At 44.7% G+C, this 19,511-nt stretch overlaps 1 long non-coding RNA gene and 1 pseudogene across 1 annotated transcript in view, besides 2 other annotated features; one reads left to right on the forward strand and one right to left on the reverse strand.

The window, feature by feature from the left end:
* Positions 1,742–19,511, forward strand: part of LOC101927598 (uncharacterized) — a 59,204-nt gene continuing 41,434 nt past the window's right edge. Inside the window, exon 1 of the long non-coding RNA XR_002957605.2 lies at positions 1,742–3,066. This is a non-coding gene — a long non-coding RNA (uncharacterized LOC101927598). The remainder of the gene's footprint in view (positions 3,067–19,511) is intronic.
* OR7E159P (olfactory receptor family 7 subfamily E member 159 pseudogene) lies at positions 7,714–8,022 on the reverse strand (annotated as a pseudogene).
* Positions 11,968–12,137: a silencer, noted in NCBI's record as "fragment chr14:52242760-52242929 (GRCh37/hg19 assembly coordinates)". NCBI's record gives its function as "represses an EF-1alpha promoter that drives an FKBP-Casp9 reporter gene in an ReSE screen in K562 erythroleukemia cells {active_cell/tissue: K562}" and the evidence as "EXISTENCE:reporter gene assay evidence [ECO:0000049][PMID:32094911]".
* Positions 15,946–16,015: an enhancer, noted in NCBI's record as "active region_8375". NCBI's record gives its function as "activates an Ori minimal core promoter by ATAC-STARR-seq in GM12878 lymphoblastoid cells {active_cell/tissue: GM12878}" and the evidence as "EXISTENCE:reporter gene assay evidence [ECO:0000049][PMID:35858748]".

A 19,511-nucleotide genomic window follows, 5' to 3' on the forward strand; every position in this document is an offset into this window, starting at 1 on the left:
AACAAGTAAAGCAACACCCAGCATCATGTCTGCATTTTGCATAGAAGCAATTCACAAGTCATGTTTTCAGATTTCAGAGCAATCCACACTCAGCAATAGTTTGCAGTGCTGACAAACTCAGTTGTCTTCTAATGCTTTCATCATTGATTTCTGTGTTCTTCACTTCTTGCTCTACACACCTGCCTTAGAGACACTAGATTCAAGAATCTTCCAAGAACCAAATCATCCTATATAAGAAGTTCGTCATTGCTAGAAAATACAGCCTATCTTTTCCGAAGAAAACGATGTAATGAAACCATTCTCTTCACTTTAAGAAAAAGGTTATCCTAATGAAAGGAAATTAAGAACTCAAATATTTTATTTTATTCGAATAGATTGATACAAATTCCCTTGATTTAGAACATCTGTAAACACTGTATAACTGCTGAGACCATGCCATCTGGAAATGAAATTAAAGTTGATGGTTCATAAGCAGAAAATAGTTCCACAGGCCAGGTGGGTCCCAGTGATTTCATCATTACGTTTTCTGACTTTTCTCCTTCAAGAGAGTAATTGCTTCCTCAAATCAGTGGGTCTTGTTTTAAAATTCATGGAAGCTATAACTCCTATCCTTAGCTTAGGTGGACTTAGAGTTTTCATCAGAACGTTTGGCCGGACGCGGTGGCTCACGCCTGTGATACCAGCACTATGGGAGGCCGAGGAGGGCGGATCACGAGGTCAGGAGATCAAGACCACCCTGGCCAACATGGTGAAACCCCGCCTCTACTAAAAATACGAAAACTTCGCCCGGTATGGCGGCGTGTGCCTGTAGTCCCAGCTACTCGGGAGGCTGAGGCAGGAGAATGGCTTGAAACTGGGAGGCAGAGGCTACTGTGAGCCGAGATCACACCACTGCACTCCAGCCTGGGCAACAGGAGCAAAACTCCATCTCAAAAAACAAAAAACCAAAAACACACGCTCTGTCACACTGACGTCACACTGATGACAGCCAATTTTTGTGAACCAAGGAAGTGTCAATTCAATAATCAGCATAGATGTTTACTTTGGCTATCTCCTATGTGCCAAGCAAGATATAGGCTCTGGGGAATCAGAAACAAAAGAGACTCAATTGTTCCTCTCACAATACTCAGTACTTACTGAGACAAGGACAAAATAAGATGTCCTGTCTGGAATGCAGGGACACAAGAACTTCAGGTCAGGGGATATTTCCGTTGAACCGTTTGGAGTTTAAGCTGAAAATATTAACGAATGTATCTAAAGTTCACTTTGCCTTGACTTTATGCATCCATCACATAGAGATCACGCAGCGGGCACCCACTATGGGTTTCATCATCGCTCACTTCCCTTGGATCAACTAGAAATCAACTCAGATGAGAGTGCTGAGTCTCAGAGGATGGACGTCTCACTCCTTGCCATACAGATAAGTAGAAAGGGTGGTATTGAAATTAATGGCCAGACTCTAAGTCCCGGGCACTATACTTGATGGTCTCCCAACCCTCAAAATGTTGTGGGTTCTTTTTTGTTTTTGAGACGGAGTCTCATTCTGTTTCCCAGGCTGGAGTGCAGTGGAGCGATCTCGGCTCACTGCAACCTCCGCATCCCAGGTTCAAGCTATTCTCTTGCCTCAGCCTGCCGAGTAGCTGAGATTTCAGGCGCCCGCCACTACGCCTGGCTTATTTTTTTCTCTTTTTAGGAGAGACGGGGTTTCACCGTGTTGGCTAGGCTGGTCTCGAACACCTGACCTTGTGATTTGCCTGCCTCAGCCTCCCAAAGTGCTGGGATAACAGGCGTGAGCCACCACGCCCAGCTTCAAAAGTTTTCAACAGAGCTCAGAGGTCTTAACCACAGGCACATCCGAGGAGCATTTTTGAAATGGTTTCCAGCTTCCTCAATAGGAATGGAAGCCAAACCCGGAACTGATGGCTCCTTGGAGGAAGTCGAGAGCTGTAAGGAAAGCCAGGAACAGGGGCAAGGGAGAGATGCATCCCGAATGATCCTGTGCCAATTCTTTCTGGAATCTTTGATGTGATCTCCGCTGCCCTTTCCATACTTGACACAGTGATTGTGGCACCCACTGGTCTAGCTGTGGTCTACAAGGAACCCCCAAAGGGAAGGGCACAGTGAGCAGGGGCATCGGCCTGAGTGACAAGGATTGGAGGGGGCAGGTTGGATGCAGGGAGAGGACTGGCCAAATGCCATGTGTCTGGCTTAGACTACCTTGTTCAAATTGGGCTTCACCATTTTTGACTTCGTGATCTGGTACAAGTTATATGAAAATGTGTTGCTCCTTTTCTAGTCTGTAAAATCATAAGGAAATGTGCACTAATAACTGGGAGACTATGCAGATGAAATGAAACAAGCTGCATAGAACACAGAGCTCAGAGCCTGGCCTTTAGGAAGCCCTCAGTAAGGGTTCATGATGCCATGGTGTCTGTCATCATCCTCTTTATCCTCATCATCACCTTCATCATCTTTTTGTTGTTCTGAGGGCATACTTTAGAGGGACTCATTCCCTGCTCTCATGGGTGAGATGTCTATGAAGAGGACAACCAGTGGGGGAGGGAAGCAAAATTTTGAAGAAGATTCCTGAGAGAGATCCCCCACCACAACCAAGAACAGAAACTCCACAGTCTGCTGAGCTGACAGTTTGCACATTGGTCTCCTCCCATCTGCCCACGGCACTCTCCCGTTTGTCCTGAAGATGAGGAAACAAACAAGGCTCCCGACCGTCCCTCAGCACTCACTGAACGGCCCTTCCCCTCTGCTGGGCCATGACCACGGAGAACAGGTCCACTGTCCTCCCTGAGTGGTGCACATGGGAGGCTCAGACTCCGTCCTCAAGGCTGGTAAGAAGACAGGGTGAGACATGAGCCTCCTGATACAGGTGACGGGTGTGGAGCCCACAGGACTGCAACCTCACACTGCAGGGCTGGAGGCACAGACTGAGTATTTCCTATTCTATGGCCTGGGGGGCTCAAGGCACAGAGCTCCTCATTAGCCAGAGTCGCCCATGTTCCCCATGCTCTAAGGATTTCCTCATCATCATGCAAGAAGAAGAATAGAAAAGTAAGTGTCCATAGAAGCTTTGGGGCTCTTCCTCTAATCAGGAGAGAGCTTGTGTGTATTATTTGCTTTTTTCTTTTACAAGATCCAAGTGCTTTAATTTTCATCTTTTATTATGGGAAAATATACCACGTATAAATCCTAAAAATTATAAATATAGATTATTTCATATAGAATGGCCAGTATGAACATTTATAATTTCCACTATTTTTCAGTTTAGAGTTTAATCACATTAGGTACATTCACATTGTTTAGCAACCATCACCGCCATCATCTCCAGAACAGTTTTATCCTTGAAAATGGAAATTGCACCCATTAACCAAACTCTCCATTCCTCTCCCTCTCACCCACCCCTGGGGGCCACCATTCTATTTTGCAGCTCTATAAGTTTAACTACTCTAGACACGTGATATAAGTGGAATCATACCGTGTTTAATTTTTTTGGTTTGTTTGTTTTGGAGACAGAGTCTTTCTCTGTCACCCAGGCTGGAGTGCAGTGGTGTGGTCTCGGCTGACTGCAACCTCCACATCGTGGGTTCAAGCGATTCTTGTGTCTCAGTCTCCCGAGTAGCTGGGATTACAGGCATGCGCCACCACGCCCAGCTAATTTTTGTATTTTTAATAGAGACGAGCTTTCACCATATTGGCCAGGCTGGTCTCGAACTCCTGACCTTAAGTGATCCGCCTGCCTCGGCCTCCCAAAGTGCTGGGGTGACAGGTGCGAGCCACTGAGCCTGGTCATGTTTATCCTTTTGGGATTTATTTATTTCACTGAGGAGAATGTCTTCAAGGTTCATCCGTGTTGCAGCCTGTGTCAGAAGTGCCTGTCTGGTTGTTTGGGTGTTTTTTTGTTTTGTTTTGTTTTGTGTTTACATGGAGTCTCACTCTGTTGCACAGGCTGGAGTGCAGTGGCACAATCTGGGCTCACTGCAACCTCCGCCTCCCGGGTTCCAGCGATTCTTGTACCTCAGCCTCCCAAGTAGCTGGGACTATAGGCACACGCCACCACGCTCGTCTAATTTTGTGCATTTTCAGTAGAGACAGGGTTTCACCAAGATGGCCAGGCTGGTCTTGAATTCCTGACCTCAGGTGATCCGCCCACCTCGGTCTTCCAAGATGCTGGGATTACAGGCGTGAGCCACCGCACCGGCCAGAAGTGCCTGCATTTTTATGGCTGAATAGTCTTCCGTTGTATGAATGAACTGCACTGTGCTTTTTCATTCACCTGCCCATGAACCCTTGGGTTGCTTCCACATTTTGGCTGTTTTGAGTAACGCTGCTATGAATATGGGTGTACAAATCTCTCTTCCACTCCTGGCTTCTAATTCTTTTTGGCAGGTACCCACAAGTGCAACTGTGGGAACATCTGATAATCCTGTTTCTACTTTTTCCAGTACATGCCATAGTATTTTCCCCATTCCTTCACGGTTTTACATTCCCTCCAATCAGATTCGAGCATTCCTACTTCCCTTTAGTTTCACCAATGCTTGTTTCTTTATCATATCCCTCCTAATGTGTGGTATCACATTCTTGGTTTGATTTGCGCTTCCCTGTGGTTCGTGATTTTGAACATCATTTTAGACGCTTATTGGCCATTGTTATATCTTGTTTAGGGACACGTGTACTCGAGTCTTCTGACCATTGTTAATGGGGTGCTTTGGGTTTCTTGTTGTTCAGTTCTAGCTGTTCTTTGTATATGATGCATATCAGCCTCTTTTCAGAGATAAGATTTGCAAATCTTTTTCCTAATCCATGGGTTATCTTTTCACTCAGTTCACAGTGTTTGCTGATGCACAAAAGTGTCTGTCATTTAGATGTCATCCAAGGAATCTAATTTTCTTTTGTTGCCTATGCTTTTGGTGTCGTATCCCAGAAAGCATTGCCCAATCTGATGTCATGAAAGTGTGGCCAATGTTTTCTTTGAGGCATATTATACTTTCAGCACTTGGGGTGAGGTCTTTGATCCAGTTTGTGTTAATTTTTGCACCTGGTGTGACATAGAGTCCACCTTCATTCTTCTGCATGTGGAAATCAAGTTTCTCCAACACCATTTCTTGAAAAGGCTGCTTTTCCACCAATGGACTTTCTTAGCACTCATGTTAAAAATCATTTGAACATATAGGGGAGAAGTTATTTCTGGGCTCAAAAACAAATAAACAACAGACAACAGATAAGGATACAGCATGGGCCAGGCGCGGTTGCTCACACCTGTCATCCCAGCCCTTTGGGAGGCCGAGGTGTTTGGATCACCTGAGGTCAGAAGTTCAAGACCAGCCTGACAGACAGGAAGAAACTGCTGTCTCTACTACAAATACAACATTAGCTGGGCGTGCTGGGGCATGCCTGTAATCCCAGCTGCTCAGGAGATGGAGGCAGGAGAATCGCTTGAACCCAGGAGGCAGAGGTTGTGGTGAGCCAAGATTGCACCATTACACTCCAGCCTGGGAAACAAGAGCGAAACTCTGTCTCAAAACAAAAAACCAAAAACAAAAAATCCAGCATGATTTCGAGAGCAGAAAGAGAATAGCTGAAAAACGAGCATAATGAGACAGTTAGGAAGCTTCTTACCAAAGCATCTGGAAATATGCAAGAAATTCTTGTGAACTAAAATTTTCATACTGTGCTTTCAAACACTAGAAGTCACTTGTTCCATCTTTCTGTATTTTGGGACCCAATTATCCACTTCTCTTCATTCCCCATCCCACCCCTTTTCTTCCTAGCGTCTGCTAACCACCTTTATACTTTCCACCTTCCTGAGATTCCTTTTGTGTGTAGGTGTGTGATGGAGTCTCTTTCTGTTGCCCAGGTTGGAGTATACAGGCACAATCTGGGCTCACTGCAATCTCCGCCTCCCAAGTTCAAGCGCTTCTTGGGCCTCAGCCCTCCGAGAAGCTGAGACTACAGGCACGCGTCACCACGCCCGGCTAATTATTTGTGTTTTCAGTAGAGACAGGGTTTCACCATGTTGGCGAGGCAGGTCTCAAACTCCTGGCCTCAAGTGATCCGTGCGACTCGGCCTCCCAAAGTGCTGGGATTACAGGCCTGAGCCACCACACCTGGCCAAGATTTTCTTTTTTGTTCCTACATAGAAGTGAGGATATGAAATATTTGTCATTCTGTGCCTGGCTTATTTCATTTAATATACAGACCTGCAATCTCATCCATTTTGTCTGCAGCGGAGAGGATTTTCTTCCTTTTTAGGCTGAATAATACTTCATTGTGTGTGTATACCACAGTTACTCAATTGAAACAAATTTCTAAAAAACAAATATTTTTAACATGTCTCGGAAGGTGAAACTTGAGGGATACTGTGCCCATTTTATTCTTTTCTATTTCCCGTCTTATGTATACGCAAGTGTATAACAAAGCGGCAATCAAAGCGTGTATAAATCTATAATTTCAACAAATGTAAAATGAAAATTCTAAGTGGTGGCTGGGTGTGGTTGCTCACGCCTGTAATCCCAGAATATTGGGAGGCGGAAGCGGGCGGATGACCTGAACCTGTGAGTTCAAGACCATCCTGACCAATATGCAGAACCACTGTCTGTACTAAAAATACCAAAAAAAAAAAAAAAAGAAAAAGAAAAAATTAGCGGGGCATGGTAGCACATGCCTGTAATCCCAGCTACTTGGAAGGCTGAGACAGGAGAATCGCTTGAATACGGGAGGCAGAGGTTGTAGTGAGCCGAGATCGTGCCATTGCACTCCAGCCTGGGCAACAAGAGTGAAACTCTGCCTCAAAAAGAAAAAAAAAAAAAAAAAAGAAAAAGAAAAAAATAGAAAATGCTAAATGGTAAGAAACAACAGCATAATAAACATTTGTATGGTGTTGATGGACAATGCATTTGAAGATAATATTTGAAGAAATCATATTACAATTAACTTCTGTTCTTACTCATTGGAGCTTGATGCCTCTGAAAACTTCGTCACTGCAACCACCTCTTGTACTTAAAAAAAAAAAAAAAAAAATCCACATACTCACACAGGTGCAAGGAAATCAGAATCTCAGGTATTGAGACCTAGGCCTCATCATTTGTAAGCTCGCCAGGTGATTTGACTCAAAGCCAAGATTGAGGACCGGTGACATGGATCTTACACATAACCTGCCTAAATAGATTCTCTAGAAGCAGTTTATAAAGAAATTCCACATGAACTGTGGAAGAGGATATGAATTTGATGTACAGTATGTCCTCACTTAACATCTTTGAAAGTCTCTTGGAAACTTCACCTTGAAGCAAAATTAGGTTAAGTGAAACCACTTATTCCTCACCAACATTATAACTACACAACTTTGAACGCACAAATGGTGTTGGAGGACCTGCTGTACATTGTTTCCATAAAGTCAATTTTCAGGGAATTCCAAAATGAAGTGAGGACTTCACGTATATAAAAAGATGGTTGTGATTCCACCTGGATGACAGGGTTATTGCTCAGAAACTAAAGGAGGCCGCCTAGGTATAGAGGATTCAGTCATGAGGTTTCTGCTAAACAAAGGATCCCAGAATACTCACCCATTCCAGTTAAAGGCATAACGAAGAAAGCAATATTCACAAAGGAAATGCGGAAAGGAATAAAAGCCATCACGCCACAAAAATAATGTGACTAAGGGGCAGGATTTGCAGATGTAGGTATGTAATGTGGTTGCCCTTTCTTACCCACACAAGAAAAAGGATGCAAGAGATCATGAGATTCGACTGTTCTGCTGCGCAGCCTCCGCAGGGCGCTTTGAATGTCCCTGTTTCTCTGGCTGTAGATGAAAAGGTTCAGCATGGGGGTGACCACAGCGTACATCACTGACGCCACGACACCATTCCTGGGGGGTGCTGCCACAGCTGAAGTCAGGTACACGCCAATGTCTGTCCATAAAATAAGCAAACAACTGCCAGGTGAGAGCCACAGGTAGCGAAGGCTTTATACTTCCCATCTGACGATGAAATCCTTAGAATGGAGGGGCGCCCGCCCCACTGCGATGTGGATCGTCATATCCAGGGGGGAGAGGGGGGTGATATGACTCCCCGCATCGCGGGGGCCTCACCCCCTTGTGATGGGGGTCCTAAGAGCCAGGGGGGGATAGGAGCTGGCTCTTACGCCTCGTACTGAGGGGCGGGGGGGGGCTCACCGCCCTGTGATGGGGCTCCTAAGAGCCAGGGGGGAAAAGGGGCTGGCTCTTACTCCCCGTATCGCAGGAGGTATGTACAACCCCTGCGATAATGGGAGTAATATCATCCTCTCCCCCTGAATATAAGAAACAATATCACAGGAGGATGTACACCCCCTGAGATATTGGAAGTAACATCATTTTCTCCCCCTCGGGATATTCGGAACAATATCACAGTGGGTGTGTACAGCCCCTGCGACATTGCTGCTAGTATCTTCCTCTCCCTCCCAGGATATAAGGAAGAATGTCACAAGGGAGTGTACACCCCCTGCGATATTGGCTGTAATATCTTCCTCTCCCTCGCTGCCCTTTAGGAGCAATGTCACACAAGGGGTGTACACCCCCTGCTATATTGGGAGTGATATCATCCTCTCCGTCTCTGGATATTAGGAACAATATCCCTAGGGAGTGTACACCTCCTGCAGTATTCAGACTAATATCATCCTCTCGCCGCCTGGAGATTAGGATCAATATCACAAGGGTGGTGTGCACCCCCGGCGAAATTGGAAGAAATATCATCCTCTCCACCTTTGGATGTTAGGGACGGTATCACGGGGAGGTCTCCACCCCCTGTGATATTGGGAGTCCTATCATCCGCTCCCACCCAGGATATTAGGAACAAGATGACCGAAGGGATGTACACCCACTGCGCTATTTTCAATAATGTCATCCTCTACCCCCTGACTATTAGGAGTAACATCGTAGAGGGGTGTACACTTTCTGCGATATTGGGAGTACTATCCTCTCCCCTACGGATATCGGGAAGTTATAGTAATTATTAATATTAATAAATATAATAACAATTAATAGTAATCACCGATATTAATAATTACAGTAGAGACAGTAAAACTTAGTAAGGATGAAAAATATTAACGGTTACTATTAATAATTAATAGCAATATCACTATTAATAATAAAATAATGATATCACTAATGTTACTTCAATCAATCATAATTGATGTTGGTAATAAAACAATAATTACTATTAAGATTAATAACTAATATTAAAAGTGACATTAATATTAATATTTAATTTTAATCATGCATAATCATATCTTGAAAATAATCATTAATGATTAATAATGTTATACTGTTAATTAATATTACCATTGACAATTATTAATAAGACCGATGTTTAATAATTCATAATATTACTGCTAATACCGCAGGGGGTGTACACCTACCTGTGATATTTTTCCTAATATCCAGGGATGGAGAGCATGATATTAGTTTTCATATCGCAGTAGGTGTACACTCACCCTGTGACACCGATCCTAATATCCAGGGGGTAGAGTATGACATGACTCCCAACATAGCAATGAATGTACAGCCACCCGGTGATATTGCTCCTAATATTCACGGAAGAAGCGTATGATATTACTCCCAATATCACAGGGAGTGTACACCTCTTCTGTGATATTGTTCCTAGTATCCCGAGGGAGAGAGGATAATTCCAGCATCGCAGGCTGTGTTCACTCACCCTGTGATATTGTTATTAATATCCTCAAAGGGAGAGGATGATATTACTCCCCATAATAGATAGATATTACTCCCCATAATAGAGCAGGAGGTGTACACCCACCCTGTGATATTCTTCCTAATATTCAGAGGCCAAGAGGTTGATATTACTCCCAATATCGCAGGAAGTGTACAACCCTGTGTGAGATGGTCCTTAATAATATTCCAAGGCGGAGAGGGTGATCTTACTTCATATATCGCAGAAAGTGTACGACCCCCAGGGATATTGTTCCCATGATCCTGGAGGGAAGAGGATGATATTACTTTAAATATCACAGAAGGTGGACACGCCCCCACTGATATTGTTTCTAATTTCCGCGTGGGAGAGGATATGACACCCAATATCGCAGGGAGTAGAAACACCCCTGTGATACTGTTCTTCATATTCAGGGAGAAAGAGGATGATATTACTCCCAATGCAGACGGGTGTACACCCGTCTGTGAAATACTTCATAATTTCCAGAGGGGGAGATGATATTACTCACAATATCGTAAACAGGCTGTGGGTCCACCGTGGATCGTAAAAACCAGGGGCGGCGAGGGCGTGGCTCTTACTCCCCACATCGCGGGGGGGCCTCATCCCCCTGCCATCTGGGTCATGAGAGCCAGGGGCGGCGAGGGCGTGGCTTTTACTCCCCACACCGCAGGGAGTGCCTCACCCCCCTGCCATGTGCGTCTTGAGAGCCAGGGGGGGCGAGGGGGTGGCTCTTACTCCCCACATCGCGAGGGGCGACTCACCCCCCTGCCATGTGGTTCATGAGAGCCATGGGGGGCAAGGGGGTGGCTCTTACTCCCCACATCGCGGGGGGTGACTCACCCCCCTGCCATGTGGAACGTAAGAGCCGGGGGGGGGGGCGAGGGGGTGGCTCTTACTCCCCACATCGCGGGGTGCCTTACCTGTACTCTTCATTCTGACCTCAGCTCCACCTCCCCTCCCCAGAAAGTTCTTCCATGACCACTCATTCCAAAATTGGTTCTCCACTGTGTCTCTATCACAGAACCCTGTTTATTTGTTAATACCAGCAATCACAACTCTGATTCACTAATTCACTTATTGATTATTCTTTGCCTGCGTCCTATACCATAATGTGGACCTGTGAAGGTGAGACCCTTGTCCATCTAGCTTAATCTAGCTTAACATACGCTAGCACTTACGGCAGGTCCTTGGCTCAGCAGGCACTCAATGAATTGGGGTCGAATGAATACAGTAACACTGGATCATTAGAAAAGGAGAGAAAACTTCCTCAACGCTAAAATGCACTTTTTATCGATTCTGGAAGGGGGCTGCATCTTCCATTGGATATGGATATTTAATGTCATATTTCATTCCCACTCCTCTCTGAAAAGTTCCTAGTACATCGAGGTGCTCATGTGGTAGATTGTGTCTTAGCACCAAGGAAGGACAACAAGCAAGGATTATCCTGGGAAGGGAGCTTAACTACCTCTAAATCCAGGATGCTTTTTCTGAGCAATGAGGAGGATGGAGGCACATCAAAGGGGACAGAATAAGGAAACCAGTGCTCAGAAATGATGAGAAGGAACGTGGAGTAGGAAGGCATCCGGAGATGGCAGGCCAGCCTGCAATGGTCTTCATCCTGCACAGAGCAGTACGAATTTTCCTTCCTCCCAGCTTGGGAGTGGATGGGGCCAGGAGTAGCTGCCTCACTTCAGGTGTTCCAGCAAGCATGCATTCAATGGCCTACAGGCCTGAGGTAGCAGGGTACGTAGGCCTAATCCCATCTGCCTGCTTGAGTCTCAGGTATTGCACAAAACCAAAGTCTGTGCTTAGCGACTGCCCCCAGGTTTGAGCAACTGCTTAAAGCATTATCTGCTCAAAGTACAGCAGTGCACCACCAACGTCAGGACCTCTCAAAGAGCTTGCATAAAACGCAGGGCATTGGGCCCAATTCCCAACCTGCAGAACTGGCCTTCACAAACAGAGCCCAGGAATCTGCTTTTTAATTTATTTATTTATTTATTTATTTATTTATTTATTTATTTATTTATTTTGAGACGGAGTCTCGCTCTGTCGCCCAGGCTGGAGTGCAGTGGCGCCATCTCGGCTCACTGCAAGCTCCGCCTCCCGGGTTCACGCCATTCTCCTGCCTCAGCCTCCCGAGTAGCTGGAGCTACAGGCGCCCGCCGCCACGCCTGGCCAATTTTTTTGTATTTTTAGTAGAGATGGGGTTTCACCGTGTTAGCCAGGATGGTCTCGATCTCCCGACCTCGTGATCCACCCGTCTCGGCCTCCCAAAGTGCTGAGATTACAGGCGTGAGCCACCGTGCCCAGCCAAATCTGCTTTTTAATCAGCTCCCTGCTTCGCGGGATTCTTAGGTGAGTGGTTCTCAAACCTAATAAGTTGAAGTGGGGGATGACTCATTCAGGAGGCTCATTCTCCTCCGCTGCGCCTCCTCCAGCCCTCTTAAATGTTGTCTCTTCATCTTTCTTCGTACCTTCGGTTTATCACACTCCAGGCAGCTTCTGGTGTGCCTGCCCCTGTCCATTACAGAGGAGAAAGGAATCCACAGGCCCCTGCTGGGCGAGCTTGGGTGAGTCTGGGGGAGCTCCAGACGTGCCCCGGAGGGCCTGGGAGGAACTAGGTCAGATCTCTCCTTTGGGGACCTACTGCCTGTTCCTAACTGCAGCCTGACCTCTGGTGGTCAGAAGGGAGTCGTTTGGTAGGAAGAACCCAGAAAGTTTGGCTTTTTGCAATTGGGGGCTTGTGGGAGGAGGAAATTTAATCCTTACAAACTCCATCTCTGCTTGCAGAGGCTCCTTTGCTAAGCCTGGGGTTATTTGAGGAGGGGGTGGTGTGCAGTTTATGGCTCTTCCAAGTTCCTTGTTTTGCCTCCGTGGCACGCTGATCTTGACAGCTCCCCTGTACCTGAACGTTTGTGGGAACATTTTAGCTGCATTGCTGCCTTTCATCTGAGGGGGCAGAGGAGAGAGAGAGAGATGGGCAAGGAAGGAGATGTTGGGTCTTTTCATGTTTTTAAAGGTTTTCTTTTTTTTTAAAGGTGGGGTGGCCAAGGTTGAAAAGCCTAGCAAGCAGACACAGCTCTGGAAGGTGTGCCTGTGGCCTCCATTATTCATGTCTTGACCTTCTCTCAGCGGCCAAGCGCCCACTCTGCCTCTCACTTGGCTGGGGCACCTGAAACCGCTGAGGCCTGAGAGCGCTGGCTCCATGGCTGCAGCAGCCCTTTCTCTGCCCCACCAGGCCCAGGTGTGGCTTTTCTGGCATCCAGATCCTTAACCTGGTCAACGTGCTAAAGCTCAGTCACACACAGGATGAAAGTGGCCATAAAAACACTTAGAGAAGCCTCTCTGGCAATAAATCGCCCTCTCCTTTCCTTTTTAATTCTTAGGAATTAATTAACTTAATTATTAGCTAATTAATTAGTAGTTAATTAGTCAATTAACTAGCAGAACTAGATCACCTGACTTCCATGATAAACAATAATGTGCTTTTGCATTTCCAGAACCAAAATATAGTGCCCAATTCAAGGAACTGTTACTCTTTAGTAATCACAAATAGTGTAACAATGTTGGTAAACAGAGACGTTAAGGCTGGACCAAGAAAGGTAGTGCGGTAGAATGGGAAGTGCACAGTCTGGCAGTTGGAAGCTGGAGCTATGGTTGGGTTGACTGGGCAATTGATTTATTCAGTCATTTAACAAACTTGACTGAGAGCCCTTGATGAAGCAGGCATTGCACTGAATGCCAGGAAGACCAAGAAAAGCAAGACATATGACCCCTACCCCCAAGTTATTTTCAGTCTTGTGGGAGGCAATCAAAAGACATATAAACTGTTTAGACCATGAAATCTGTCTGGCATATTTAGCTCCTCGATTTGCTGCATGGTCTTCATCATTGTCAATCTCCTTCAGAGAATGCATGGAATCTCATTTCGTTCTCGCAATAATCCTATGAGGGAGGTCTTATCATCCCCTTTTATAAGGAAACTGAGTCCTTAGAAAGATCAGAGAGTTTGCCCAAGGCCAAATGGCCAGTAAGTGGTGGAGCTGGCACTGCAATCTAAGTCAGCCTGACTCCAGAGCCTGTGCTGGTGGCCACCAGGCTACACGGTTCTCCAAGATCTCCCACCTCTAATCTTTTTTCTGCTGCTCTTTTGCAGAGTCCACTTCCTGCCCTCTCACTTAACAAAGTCATCTCTGCCCATCCACCCAGCCTGATGGTCTTCCCTCCAGTCTCAGGGAAAAAGACACACACCCTCCTGCAAAGCCCATGCTCCTCACCTGAGCCTCCTCCAGTCCTCTTAGGATCGTGCCTCTTCATCTTTCTCCTGCACCTTCAATTTATCACACTCTACTTGTTTCTTCCCCGCTCAGTCCCTAAATGTGTCAAGCGCCCTCCTGTTCTAAACAATCCCCAAAATACAACAAAACAAGAGCTTCCTTTTCCCCATACCCAGCTCAGCCCTACCTAGTCCCCACCCCACTAGCTCCACTTCACCAGCCCCACCCCATCACCCACCTCTCTCCTCTTCCCATCCAGCGCCCATTACATTACAGAATGTAATCGCTGTACCCGTCTCTACTTCCTCAGCTTTACATCCAACCAGTTGATGGGGTCTTCCTGAGTGGGCTCCTAAATGCCCCTCTGTATCTTGTCCCATATCCCGACTCTGACCCCTTTTGTCTCTTTCCTGCATTACTGCAACCATGCCCCCATTGGGTCCCTACTTACAGGAATAGCCTTCCTAAATATCTCCTCCACCTTAAGGGTTCAGCAATCTATTTGAAATATGAACTGTCTTCATCAAACCCTTGAGCGACCATCCACCACCTAGAGCAGGAGACCCAGCCCTTTTGTATGGCGTACAAGGCACCCTATGATCTATACAAAGGCACCCTATGATCTATACTGCCTATGGCAAGAGCCTATCCATTACTGACTCTCCGTGCTTTACTCTCTCACAGGACAGAGCTGCCCATGGTTGCTTGCTTGCATTTTGCTGTTTCTCACTTCCACCCCTTAGGTACTGCTCTCTAAAGAGAATGCCTTTCCTCACCCCAGCGCCCCGCCTCCAGATAAGCCTAGCTAACCCCTGCTCACTTCTTCATTAGGAATCATCACTAACCAACTCTCTCCACTCCCTCAGGAGTTTATATTCCGATTATTTGTCTATGCGTCTGTATCACATTTCCTCAAGACCTAATAGGAAAGATGATGATTCCCAATTTAAGCGCAGGGCTTCTAATTACTTTAGGTAATCAAAATATTCTCTTGCTTGAAACATGAGGTTTATGAAATCCCAGCATTTGGGAGGCCAAGCTGGTGGATCACTTGAGGTTGGAAGTTTGAGACCAGCCTGGCCAACATGGTAAAACCCCGTCTTTACTAAAAATACAAAAATCAGCGAAGTGTGTTGGTGCACGTCTGTAATCCCAGCACTTTGGGAGGCCAAGGCGGGCAGATCCCCTTAGGTCAGGAGTTCGAAACCAGCCTGGCCAACATGGCGAAACCCCATCTCTACTAAAAAATAATAATAATAAATTAGCCAGACATGGTGGTTCATGCCTGCAATCCTAGCTACTCGGGAGGCTGAGGAAGGAGAATTGCTTGAACCCAGGAGGCGGAGGTTGCATTGAGCCGAGATCACACCACTGCACTCCAGCCTGGGTAACAGAGTGAGACTCCATCTCAAAAAAAAAAAAAAAAAAAAAAAAGGATTTATGAGCTCCCAAGGAGGAGTTTAAAATGCCCTAGGTGCCACACTCTGCCCTTCACAGGTGTTTACATTCCAGGTGAGAAGGAAGAACTTGGAAAGAAGATGAGAACCCATCCGCAGAGGGCTACCTGGGGCCGAGGTGCTGAGGTAGCTAGGACTACTTTAGCTCAGACCTTGGTGTGTCTGAGGTGGGATGGAGATTGAAATCCACTCCATCTCCTGATACCGGCATAATCACAACAATAAATGATGTCTGAAGTGGACGTGCAGCAGCAGAGAACAGGCAGAGAAATGTAAAAAACAACAACATCAACAACAAAAAAAACCCCGTGCCCTTGATATTATGGGAAAAGAAATAAGGAATACACTCACATCTTAATGGAAATAGAGGAATTCAGAATTTTAAAGCCTGGTCAAGGCTCAGATAGACTCGATCAAGGACAGAGACCCCTAGGATAGTTAATTTTGGAGTTATGAGCTCTGGCAAGAATGTGAACAAAGAAGAGAGCAGCAACAAGACCTAGTGCAAACACCAAGAAGGCAAATCCTACAGCTTCCAAGCACCTCTACAGGGACTGTCTACTTTAGTCTTCCCTTCATCCCTAATCCTCATGCCTTAGCAGTCTCCTTTTGTGTTCTTTGGTTTATGCTTACCATTTGAAGGGTGACGGAGGCAACTTCTAAAAATATATTTTCATCTTAATTGAAACGTGCCAGGTTGCAAAATTCCCCTGCTGCAGGTTTCTTTTCTGAAAGAGAGTCATGTGCTGCCATCTTGTGGTTGAGAGCCGCCACAACAACAATTATGTACTCCCAACATCCCGCCCAGTCCAGTGCTGGGGTGGCGGAGGCGAGGGGCGCGAGTGGCGGGGGTGATGCGGCTTCCAGGTAGAAAGCTCTGGAAAGGGTTCCGCTGCAGGGACAATGGCAAACAGGGAATGACCAGTGGAAGGACAGGTGTCACACTGGGGACTGACCTGGTAGTAATTAGTAGCATTGGAATAGGATCCAAAGGGATTTTCCCTGGTCCCTCAACCAGTATGATTCCATCTCTAGGTGCCGTTTTCCCCCTAATTAATAGATTCTCATTAGTGGTGATTTCTTAAAAATGACCTTGTGCAATGGCAACAACACCAGACTGAGAGTTAAGACACCCGGTATCTAATTGCCCCTCTGCCACAGACTACCCAGGTAAACTAGCAACAGAGGATAATAGAAAAATTATTGACCTGGGACCAGGAGGTTTGAATTCAAGTGTGATCAGTCTGGTGTGTTACCTTAGGGAAGCTGTTTCACTGAGCTCCATCCTGTGCCAGATACTGTCCTAGGTATTTTACATGGTTTTGTTTGTTTGTTTGTTTGTTTTTCCAGTTTCTTACTCCAGGATAGTGTTCTACAAGTGAGAAAACTGAGGCTTAGCACGATTGAGGGAGCTGTCCAAGGTGTCACGGAGCCAGTGAGTCAGGATCTGATTCAAAGTCTGACTCTAAAGCATATGCGGTTTATTTATTTGTTATTTATTTGAGACGAAGTCTCACTCTGTTGCCCAAACTGGAATGTAGAGGGGCAATCTTGGCTCACTGCAATCTCCACCTCCCAGGTTCAAGCGATTCTTCTGCCTCAGCCTCCGGAGTAGCTGGGACTACAGGCATGCACCACCATGCCTGGCTAATTTTTGTATTTTTAGTGGAGACGGGGTTTCACTATGTTGGCCAGGCTGGTCTTGAACTCCTGACCTCGTGATCCGTCCGCCTCGGCCTCCCAAAGTGCTGGGATTACAGGCATCAGCCACCGTGCCTGGCTGTGGTTTATTTTTTTTAAATTTATTTTCCTTTCATAATTGTGTATCATATGAATATGATACATATATTCATTTGTGTGTGTGCAGGGGTTACACATAGGTCAGATGGCTTAAATTTATTGTGTCCTTTGATGGTAGGGCAAGCCCAATTTTCACAAGTGCTCAACAAAGCTGCAGATGCTTATGCTGTTGCTTTTTAATTTCCTGTGTGTTCTCATTTTTCCCCATCTAACGTTGTTTCTAAAGGCATTTAAGAGATCTAACGACTCTAGCTTCAAAAGTCATGTTCTTTGATTTCTGAAGATAAAAGGGACGACCTAGAGAGGGAACACTGCCATTCTGCTGAGGGATCAATCGGAAAATTAACTTCCTTACAGGGAAGACAAGATGCTCTCCATGGCGTTGATTTAGTGCTTTTTTCAGGGCTGTTGCTACAGAATCTCGCCCGGCACAGCAACCTTGTGAGGTGTGTGTTATTCTCCTCATTTGACCCTTGAGGGAATTCAGGTGCAGAGAGGTGAAAACACTTGTTTGAGATTACACAACTGTGACTTGAAGACAGGCCTTTTTCTTAAACAACTTTATTGAAGTATGATTGACATACAATAGACTGCATGCACATATTTAAAATACAAAATTTGATCTTTGATCAGTTTGACAGTATAAACCCATGAGACCAGTACCACAATCAAGATAATGAACATATCCTTTATCCCATCCATTTCCTCATGCCCCTTTGGAATCCCCCAGTCTCCACCCCCACACTGCCATCCCCAGGCAACCGTTGATCTGCTGTCACTATAGTTTTCATTTTATACAAATTTTACATAAATGGAAACATATAGTGTATATGCTTTTTTGTCTAGCGTTATTGGCATAATTATCATGAGATTCATTCCTGTTGTTTTGTGTATTATTCCATTTTATTGTTAGGGAATGTGTCTTTAGATGGGTATGCCACTATTCATTCTTTTGATGATGGACATTTAGATTATTTCTACTTTGGGGCTATAATGAATAAAGCTTCTATAAACACTGACGTGAAAATATTTGCAGCAGACCTAAGTTTTCATTTCTTTGGGGTAAAAATCTAAAAATGGAATGTCTGCATTATTTGATCAGTATATGTTTAGATTTTTCACAAACAGCTAAACTGTCTTCCCGAAATGGTCATACCAGCATGTATGAGAATTTCATACGTGGATACTCCACATCCTTGCCAATACTTGGTATGGTTAGTCTTTTCCATTTTGGACACTGTAATAGGTAGTAACATCTCATTGTGATTTTAATTTGCATTTCCATAATGACTAATGATGTTGAACATATTTTCATGTGCCTATTAGTCATTCAAATATCTTCTTTAGTGAAGTGTCTGTTCAGATCTTTTGCCCACTTACAAAAATTGGGTTGTTCGTTGGCATATTATTGAGTTTTGTGAATTCCTTATATATTCATATATAAATATTTTATCGGATATGTGATTTTTCAAATATTTCTTCTCATTCTGTAGATTTCCTTTTCATTCTTTTAATAATGTCTTTTGAGGATGGACGTTTCAAATTTTAATGATGTCCAATTTACCAAAAAATTTTTTTAGATCATGTTTTTAGTTCTGTATCTAACAAGTCTTTGTAACCCAAGGTCATAGGGATTTTCTCCTATATGCTCTTCTAAAGGTTTTGTAGTTTTGGTTTTGCTTTTAGGTCTATGATTTATTCTGATTAATTTTTTATATGATGTGAGATGTGTATTGGAGTTTTTAAAATTTATTTACTTTTTTTGCAAACGGATATCTATTTTTTTCAGCACCCCTTATTGAAAAGACTATCCTTTCTCCCCTGAATTTCCTTTGCACCGTTGTTAACTGTCAATTGACCAGATATATGTAACTCCATTATTATAATCTCTATTCTGTTCCATTGATCTATTTGTTTATTTTTATGCCGATACCATACTGATTACTATAGCATTATAATAAGTAGTTTTGAAATCAGGTAGATAAGCCCTCCAAATTTGCTGTTCTTTTTCAAAGTTGTTTTGACTATTTTTGGTCCTTTGCATTTCTGTACAAATCTTGTCAATTTCTATTTAAAAATTTCTGAGATTTTACTTAGAATCGCACTGACTCTACAGATTGTAAGGCTCACCTCATTTTTTTTACCATCTCTCAAGTGTCACAGAACTGTTTCCTATTTTCCATGTTTTGAAAAACATTCTTTCATTTTTTTTACCCCTAGTTTTGTGGTTGTTTCAGGTAGGAATTTTAAATCCCATT

This window comes from Homo sapiens, chromosome 14 (genome assembly GCF_000001405.40).
Source record: "Homo sapiens chromosome 14, GRCh38.p14 Primary Assembly".
Lineage (NCBI taxonomy): Eukaryota > Metazoa > Chordata > Mammalia > Primates > Hominidae > Homo > Homo sapiens.